General features: G+C 41.2%; 1 annotated feature.

Annotated features, from left to right (window-relative positions):
• Positions 2,169–2,669: an enhancer, noted in NCBI's record as "H3K27ac hESC enhancer chr2:71477764-71478264 (GRCh37/hg19 assembly coordinates)". NCBI's record gives its function as "activates a minimal SCP1, AML or CMV promoter by ChIP-STARR-seq in primed H9 embryonic stem cells {active_cell/tissue: H9 hESC(primed)}" and the evidence as "EXISTENCE:reporter gene assay evidence [ECO:0000049][PMID:30033119]".

Below are 9,772 nucleotides of genomic sequence, written 5' to 3' on the forward strand. Positions count from 1 at the left end.
TTCTGCTAGCTTTTGAATTTGTTTGCTCTTGCTTCTCTAGTTATTTTAATTGTGATGTTAGGGTGTTGATTTTAGATCTTTCCTGCTTTCTCTTGTGGGCATTTAGTGCTATAAATCTCCCTCTACACATTGCTTTAAATGTGTCCCAGAGATTCTGGTATGTTGTATCTTTGTTCTCATTGGTTTCAAAGAACATCTTTATTTCTGCCTTCATTTCGTTATTTACCCAATAGTCATTCAGGAGCTGGTTGTTCAGTTTCCATGTAGTCTTTCTTAATCCTGAGTTCTAATTTGATTGCACTGTGGTCTGAAAGACAGTTTGTTGTGATTTCTGTTCTTTTACATTTGCTGAGGAGTGCTTTACTTCCAATTATGTGGTCAATTTTAGAATAAGTGCTATGTGGTGCTGAGAAGAATCTGTATTCTGTTGATTTGGGGTGTAGAGTTCTGTAGATGTCTATTAGGTTCTCTTGGTCCAGAGCTGAGTTCAAGTCCTGGATATCCTTGTTAACCTTCTGTGTCATTGATCTGTCTAATATTGACAGTGCGGTGTTAAAGTCTCCCATTATTATTGTGTAGGAATCTAAGTCTCTTTGTAGGTCTCGAAGGGCTTGCTTATGAATCTGGGTACTCCTGTATTGGGTGCATATATATTTAGGATGGTTAGCTCTTCTTGGTGAATTTTACCATTATGTAGTGGCCTTCTTTGTCTCTTTTGATCTTTGTTGGCTTAAAGTCTGTTTTATCAGAGACTAGGATCACAACCACTGCTTTTTTTTGCTTTCCATTTGCTTCGTAGATCTTCTTCCATCCCTTTATTTTGAGACTATGTGTGTCTTTGCACATGAGACGGGTCTCCTGAATACAGCACACCAATGAGTCTTGACTCTTTTTCCAGTTTGCCAGTCTGTGTCTTCTAACTGGGGCATTTAGCCCATTTACATTTAAGGTTAATATTGTTATGTGTGAATTTGATCCTGTCATTATGATATTAGCTGGTTATTTTGCTTGTTAATCGATGTAGTTTCTTCCTAGCATTGATGGTCTTTACAATTTGGCATGTTTTTGCAGTGGCTGGTACTGGCTTTTCCTTTCCATGTTTAGTGCTTCCTTCAGGAGCTCTTGTAAGGCAGGCCTGGTGGTGACAAAATCTCTCAGCATTTGCTTGTCTGTAAAGGATTTTATTTCTCCTTCACTTATGAAGCTTAGTTTGGCTGGATATGAGATTCTGGGTTGAAAATTATTTTCTTTAAGAATGTTGAATATTGGCCCCCACTCTCTTCTGGCTTGTAGGGTTTCTGCCAAGAGATCCTCTGGTAGTCTGATGGGCTTCTCTTTGTGGGTAACCCAACCTTTCTCTCTGGCTGCCCTTAACATTTTTTTCCTTCATTTCAACCTTGGTGAATCTGACAATTATGTGTCTTGGGGTTGCTCTTCTCGAGGAGTATCTTTGTGGTGTTCTCTGTATTTCCTGAATTTGAATGTTGGCCTGCCTTGCTAGGTTGGGGAAGTTCTCCTGGATAATATCCTGAAGAGTGTTTTCTAACTTAGCTCCATTCTCCCCGTCACTTTCTGGTACACCAATCAAACATATATTTGGTCTTTTCACATAGTTCCATATTTCCTGGAGGCTTTGTTCATTTCTTTTCACTCTTTTTTTCTCTAATCTTGTCTTATTGCTTTATTTCATTAATTTGATCTTCAATCACTGATATCCTTTCTTCCACTTGATCAAATCGGCTGTTGAAGCTTTGTGCATGCATCATGAAGTTCTCGTGCCATGGTTTTCAGCTCCATCAGGTCATCTGGGGTCTTCTCTACATTATTTATTCTAGTTAGCCATTCGTCTAACCTTTTTTCAAGGTTTTTAGCTCCCTTGCAATGGGTTCGAACATGCTCCTTTAGCTCAGAGATGTTTGTTATTACTGACCTTCTGAAGCCTACTTCCGACAACTCGTCAAACTCATTCTCCATCCAGTTTTGTTCTCTTGTTGGCAAGGAGGTGCGATCCTTTGGAGGAGAAGAGGTGCTCTGTTTTTTGGAATTTTCACCTTTTCTGCTCTGGTTTCTCCCCATCGTTGTGATTTTTATCTACCTTTGGTCTTTGATGTTGGTGACCTACAGATGGGGTTTTTGTCCTTTTTGTTGATGTTGATGCTATTCCTTTCTGTTTGCTAGTTGTCCTTCTAACAGTCAGACCCCTCAGCTGCAGATCTGTTGGAGTTTGCTGGAGGTCCACTCCAGACCCTGTTTGCCTGGGTATCACCAGCGGAGGCTGCAGAACAGCAAATATTGCTGCCTGATCCTTCCTCTGGAAGCGTCATCCCAGAGGGGCACCCGCCTGTTTGAGGTGTTTGTCAGCCCCTACGGGGAAGTGTTTCCCCGTCTGGCTACACGGGGGTCAGGGACCCACTTGAGGAGGCAGTCTGTCCATTTTTGGAGCTCGAACACCATGCTGAGAGAAACACTGTTCTCTTCAGAGCTGTCAGACAGGGACATTTAAGTCTGCAGAAGTTGTCTGCTGCCTTTTGTTATACTATGCCCTGCCCCCAGAGGTGGAATCTATAGAGGCAGTAGGCCTTGCTGAGGTGTGGTGGGCTCCACCCAGTTTGTGCTTCCTGGCCTCTTTGTTTACAATGTGAGCTACTCAAGCTTCAGCAATGGGGGACGCCCCTGCCCCCCGCCAGGCTGCAGCCTTGCAGGTTGATCTCAGACTGCTGCGCTAGCAGTGAGCAAGCTCCGTGGGTGTGGAACCCGCTGAACCAGGCATGCGAGGGTATCTCCTGGTTTGACGGTTGTTAAGACTGTGGGAAAAGTGCAGTACTTGGTCAGGAGTGTACCGTTTCTCCAGGTACAGTCTGTCACAGCTTCCCTTGGCTTGGAAAGGGAAATCCCCTGACCCCTTGCACTTCCCAGGTGAGGTGATGCCCCCTCAGCTTCAGCTCGCCCTCTGTGGGTTGCACCCACTGTCCAACCAGTCCCATTGAGATGAACCAGGTACCACTGTTGGAAATGCACAAATCACCCGTCCTCTGTGTCATTCTCGCTGGGAGGTGCAGACCAGAGCTCTTCCTTTTCAGCCATCTTGGAAACTATCCCCTATCATTTTTCTTTTCTTTCATTTTAGGTTCAGGGGTACCTGTACATGTTTGTTACATGTAAATTGCATGTCACAGGGGTTTGGTTTACAAATTATTTCAGCACCCAGGTAATAAGCATAACACTGGATAGGTAGTTTTTTGATCCTTACCTTTCTCCCTCTCTCCATCATCAGGTAGGCCTCAGTGTCTGTTATTCCCTTGTGTCCATATGTACTCAGTGTTTAGCTCCCACTTATAAACAAGAACATGTGGTATTTAGTTTTATGTTCCTGTATTCATGTATTTAGGCTAATGGCCTTTAGCTCCATCCATATTGCTACAAAGGACATGATCTTGTTCTTTTGATGGCTGTGTAGTATTCCATGGTATATATGTACCACATTTTCTTTATCCAGTCTACCACTGATGGGCATTTAGGTTGATTCTAAAATCTTTGCTATCGTGAAAAGTGCTGCAATGAACGTACACATGCATGTGTCTTTATGGTAGAGTGATTTATACTCCTTCGGGCATATACTCAATAATAGGATTGCTGGGTTGAATAGTTATGCTTTGAGTTCTTTGAGAAATCGCCAAACTGCTTTCCACAATGGCAGAACTAATTTATATTCCCACCAGCAGTGTATAAGCTTTTTTTTTCTCTGCAACCTTGCCAGCATCTGTTATTTTTTCACTTTTTAATAATAGCTCTTCTCACTGGTGTAAGACGGTATCTCATTGTGGTTTTGGTTTGTATTTCTCTAATGATTAGTGACATTGAACATTTTTTCATGCTTGTTGGCTGTGTGTATGTCTTCTTTTGAAAAGTTAGACTATAATTTTCAATATATGTATAGGATTCTATTGTTGTATGTTTGTCGTAAGTATTTAACTGGTTCCCTATTAATTTTTGTGTTATTCCTGACATAAAATATGAGGATTAATACCCTTGCAAATATATCTTTAGAAATTTGTATTGTTCATTCCATAGGATAATTTATAGAAGTAAAATTGCTGAGTTACCTCCTCCCCAAAATGTAACTATTATATAGAATTTTAAGCTGATTATTCTCTTGTTTTTCTTTATAATTTACCCATCTATATTTATTAATAAATGCCTGCATAGAAGTTTTAAAAATTCTTATGTAGGGCAAACTTACCTGTTCTTCTTTAGGATTTAAGACTTTCGTTTTATGCTTCAAAATGCCCTTCACCTCTATCTATATTCACTGTATTTTCTTTTAATGTCAGTTTCAACTTTTTACATTTAAATGCAAAAATAATCTGGAATTTATCTATTTGATTTAGGAATTGAGGTGGGGGTTCAACTAATCTCCCCCAACAATGCCCAGATGGCTAACCAGTTATCCCAATAGTTAAGTTTGAGATGTCTGTTAGAAATCCAAATGGAACTAGGTAGGTATTACGAGTCTGGATTCTAGGAAAGAGTTCCAGCTGGAGATATGACGATGGGAGTTGAAAGTAAATAGATAGTATTTAAACCAAGGAGCCTGGATGACATCATCAAAAGAGAGAGTATAGGTAAGGAGAGGAGAGGGCCCCCACTGGCCTTCTTGCTGTTCCTCAAACATGTGGAAACCATTCTTGCTTCAGGTGCTTTGCCAACAATGCTCTTTCTCTAGACATTTTCAAGTCTCGCTCACTTCATTGAAGCCTCTCAAATGTCACTTCTTCAGAACAAAGGAACACCCTGACCACACTATTCAAATAGCATCCCTTCCCCTAAGCTTACCAATGACTCTATTCATTAGTCTTTTATTTTTCTTCATAGCACTTCTCATTTCCTAAAATCACACATTCATTTGTCTACTTATTTATTATATACCTTCTTCATGAGGTCAGGGCTTTGCATTTTAAAGAAATATATTATTTTAACCATCTATCCTAGTTTGGGATGTCCCAGGAGAGACCCCAGACAAGAATTTGAGTGTGATTGTTTATATGGGATATTATCCCAGGAAATGCCAGTAAGAGTATGAAGAAGTGAGACAGGAATGAGAAAGCAGTCAATAAAGGACACATTATCAAGCAAGTTACCACTGTGGGTAACTGGAGCTTAATCCTGCATGGGAACTCTGGGCCTCAAAGAATATACTCTGAGGGGTATGATTGCTGAGCTATTAATACACCAACTCATGTTAGTCACTGAATGAGGGTTGTTTCTGGGCGTGTTAATTCTTATGTACTTCTGGCCTGATGAGCCCACTTGCCCATGGGCACACCATATTTGCTGAAGAGAGTTAACAGGCAAAGAGATGCAGATACTGGTAATTAAAAGTGGGATGGTGTGCACTATAATGGTAAGGCCTGTGGGTATATGGGTGGGGACAAAACAACACCTGCTATCTCATTCTATTCCCTGCACCTTGAAGTGTGCCTGGCATATAGTGGATACTCAATAAATACATGAACATTAAATAAAACTTGTTCACATGTTAAGGGAACATAATAGGTGATCTGCTTGCCTGCCTCAACCTCTCAAAGTGCTGGGATTACAGGCATAAGCCACCGCGCCTGGCCTCAGAAATGTATTTTAACCCTTATAACACCACCTGTTTTTTATTTTCCCTGCTTGAAAGCTTATAGGATTATTTTTTATTTATGCTTGCCTAAGTCTGCCTTCAGTAAGCAGTCCTTGAGCTAACTCTTAAAGGAGGTATAGGAGTGTGTAAGTGGAGGAAGTGGCATGTGCTGAAAGGAGCAGCCAGGAGTTTGTGTGACTGGAGCACAGAGGTCAGGGAGAGATGGCAGGTGGGGAGACTGGGCTTGCAGGCAGTTGCGGTATGATTTGTGTGGCAGATTGTATTTTCTACAGATGCCCACAACAACATCTCCACACTTGCTCATCTATAATGTGACCTGATATTCATTTTTTTTTTTTTTTTTTTTTTTTTTAAGGCAGAGTCTCGCTCTGTCATCCAGGCTGGAGTAGAGTGGCGTGATCTCGGCTCACTGCAACGTCCACCTCCCAGGTTCAAGTGATTCTCCTGCCTCAGCCTCCCGAGTAGCTGGGATTACAGGCATGCATCACCATGCCCAGCTAATTTTTGTAGTTTTAATAGAGACGGGGTTTCGCCATGTTGACCAGGCTGGTCTTGAACTCCTGACTCCAAGTGATCCGCCTTCCTCGACCTCCCAAAGTACTGGGATTATAGGCATGTGCCACCGCACCTAGCCCTGATATTCTTTTAATTGAGAGGTAAAGTCCATGTACCCTCCCCTTGCATCTGGACAAATTTGTTTATAAACAACAAAATGTGGCAGAAGTGACACTGAAAATTCAGAGTCTGTTAAATGATGACATAGCTTCCACTTTGTTCTCTGGAGCACTTGCAGCTGGAACTCTGAAATGCTCTACCTCAAAGCCATCAAGCTACAAAGAAACCAAACCAAAAGGAGAGGCTACAAATAGGTGCTGTCGTCAGCAGTCCTGATCTTCTCCACCTGGCCCAGGGACCAGATTTGTGAGCGAATGATCCTTCAGATGATCCTAATCACCATCTGCTGAGATACTTTCAGGTAAGGCCCTAGACATCAAGAAACAGAGACAAACTCTGTCCTCATATCCTTTCCAGATCTCTGACCCCGACGATCCATGAATCTAATAAGATGGTTGCTGTTTTATATCACTAAGCTTAGAGCAGTTTATTACCCAGGCATAATAACTGAACACTAACCATGAGTTGGGCTTCCTCAGGAAATGGGGAATCATTGGTTTCTGGATATGGAGTAACCTAATTAGACATGGGATTCAACAGTAGTATAGTACAAAGCCTCAGGGTTCTACAACTCCCAGGGGCACCAATAATGTAGGAGTCAAGGTAATGATGGTCCCTATATTTGTGCAGACTGGTGACCCTGGTTGCTGTGGATGAACTGTCAAGAGCCAGAACTAGAAGTGAACTACTAATGAGACTAGTATAATAGTCTGGATAGGAGAAGAGGAGGGCCTAAGCTAGGGTAGTAGCCATGAAAATGAAGAAAAGGTAGCTATCAGAAATGTTTCAGAGGTAGATCCAGTAGAACCATGAGACAGGTAGAAGTCTGGAATGACTCCCAAGTGTCTGGCTCATGGAGGATGGTGGTATAATTTCCCAGGTCAGAGATCACAGGAGGAGAGACCAGTTTGAAGAGAGAGACGATAGATTAAGATTTGGATGTGGGCCGGGCACGATGGCTCATGCCTGAAATCCCAGCACTTTGGGAGGCTGAGGCGGGCAGATCACCTGAGGTTGGAAGTTCAAGACCAGCCTGACCAACATGGAGAAACCCTGTCTCTACTAAAAATACAAAATTAGCCGGGCATGGTGGCACATGCCTGTGATCCCAGCTACTCGGGAGGCTGAGGCAGGTGAATTGCTTGAACCCAGGAGGTGGAGGTTGCGGTGAGCCAAGATCACACCATTGCACTCCAGTCTGGGCAGCAAGAGTGAAACTCCATCTCAAAAAAAAAAAAAAAAAAAAAAAAAGGATTTGGATGTCTTGATTCTGAGGTGCCTGAGGATATGTCCAGGCATCATTTGGACATATGACAGATGCCTGGGCTATAAATAATATCTTTGGACCTTAACAGTATATATTTAGTAATTAAGTCTATGGAAGTGAATGCCATGGCAGTTGGAGAAGATACAGAATGAGAAGGGCCTAGAACCAAATAATGGGGAATTAAGATGTTTAAGGGACTGGCCAAAGAAGAAGACCACCATAAAGGATTTTCTGAAATTATCGAATAGGTAGTAAAAGAAACAGAAGCATCTGGTGTCAGAATACCTAAGACAGGAGAGAATATTAATAAAAAAAGAAAGTGGTCAGTAATAACCCATATCTCAAAGAGCAAGGATGGCAAGGACTGATAAGCGGCCATTGAATCTGATAATTATAAGGTCACTGGTGCTTTTGCAAGAGCAGTTTCTGTGGAGTGGTGGGAATAATGAACAACAGGCAATGGACAAGGACTTAGTGCAGAGTGAAGAGAAATATGAGTTCCCTAAACAGGCAGGGAAAAAGAAAGGGGCATTGAAATTGAAAATGGCAAGGAGAGGAGGGAAAAGGGGTGGGCGATCAGGATGACTCAAGCCTTTGTCAATTATACTGCAGGGCTTTGTCTGTGAGAGAGGCAGGGTGGTGCAGTGGGTAAGAGGACAGGCTTTGGAGCCAGGCTGCCTGTATTTGTGTGGAGTTTCACCATTACGTATTAGCTGTGTAAACTTGGGCAAGTTACTTAATGTCTTTGTCCTCAGTTTCCTCATCTGTAAAGGATAATTGTAACCACTTCTCAGGTTTTTGTGAGTGCTTAGAAGCAACCAATAAATGTTAGCTCTCAATGTTATTATTATTATTAATTATCATCATCATCATCATTACTACACAAGTAAACTCTGGCTTCTTCCCTGAATAATATCTACTGCTCTTGTTCTAGGGCAGTGATTTTCAAAGTGTGATCCAGGTCCCTGAAGCTCTCTCAGGGGGTCTGGGAGATCAAAACTATTTTCATAATACAAAGACACAATTTGCCATTTTCACTTACATCCTGTCACAAGTGTATGCTGCAGTTTTCCAGAGGCTACGTGATATTGCAACAGATATTGATATAGAAACAAATATGAAAATCCAGATGTCTTTTATTAAGCCAGACACAAGAGTAATTTTAAAAAATGTCAAAGGTCACTCTTCTCATTTATTTTGGTTGTGGTTTAGAAACTGTATTTTCCATTAAAATGTCTTATTTATGTTAACATGTAATGGGTTTATTTTTGTTAGATGAATGCAAACTAAATATTTAAAAAATGTATCCATTTACATTTCCAATATGGTAAATATTCAAAAGATATCCACAAAACAAAAGCTCTTGGAAGCTATCAATAATTTCTAAGAAAATTATTAGAAAGGGAAACTAACACCTAAAAGTTTTGAGAATCACTGCTCTAGGGACTGAATCAGAATCAGAACAAGAAGTGTTCACTAGTTTGTACTTCTTTCTCTGGTCACACAAGACCACTTGCTTTTCCCTAAGGAAATAATTTATGTTCACAGCTCTGAATCTTTGGTGTGCTATTCCCTCAGTTCACCCTTCTTTGTCAAAACTCTGCATATCCTATAAGACACTTATCTTCTCAGTTTCATTGGCTTACAGTGATGTAGGTCCTCAGCTTACCTTTCCAGAAGCTGCCCCAAATCCAGCATGCTTATGCTCCTTCCCATGGTCTCCTCTTCACCTATCACAAACATAGCGGTAGCTAGCCTCCAAATTGAGCAGAAGTGGGAGAAGAGCCCTCTTCCAAATTCTTTGTCAAACTTTGTCACCTGGGCTCCCAAGCAACATTTCTTTTTCACTGAGTCTCATAAAACTGCTACTTTGGTTTTTGCTCACAAGCCCCTTTCTATCAGTCAGTTTGGTCCTGAGTGAGAAATGCAATATTACCCTGCTCCCTATACCTTCATCTTTCTTGTAGTATTCAGGGGGTCAAGTACTAAAAATATTTTCTTCACAATAGTAGCACTTCTGAACCTTATTTTAAGCTCAGCTGGGATTTCTGTTGTCATTACCATCATCATCATCATTATTCTAATTCTTATATACATTCTGATCCCCACAATAATTCTGTAAGGAATATGTAATCCCATTATGTTAGTTATCTATTGCTGTGTAACAAATTACCCCCAAAACGTAG

Source organism: Homo sapiens, chromosome 2 (genome assembly GCF_000001405.40).
Source record: "Homo sapiens chromosome 2, GRCh38.p14 Primary Assembly".
Taxonomy (NCBI): domain Eukaryota; kingdom Metazoa; phylum Chordata; class Mammalia; order Primates; family Hominidae; genus Homo; species Homo sapiens.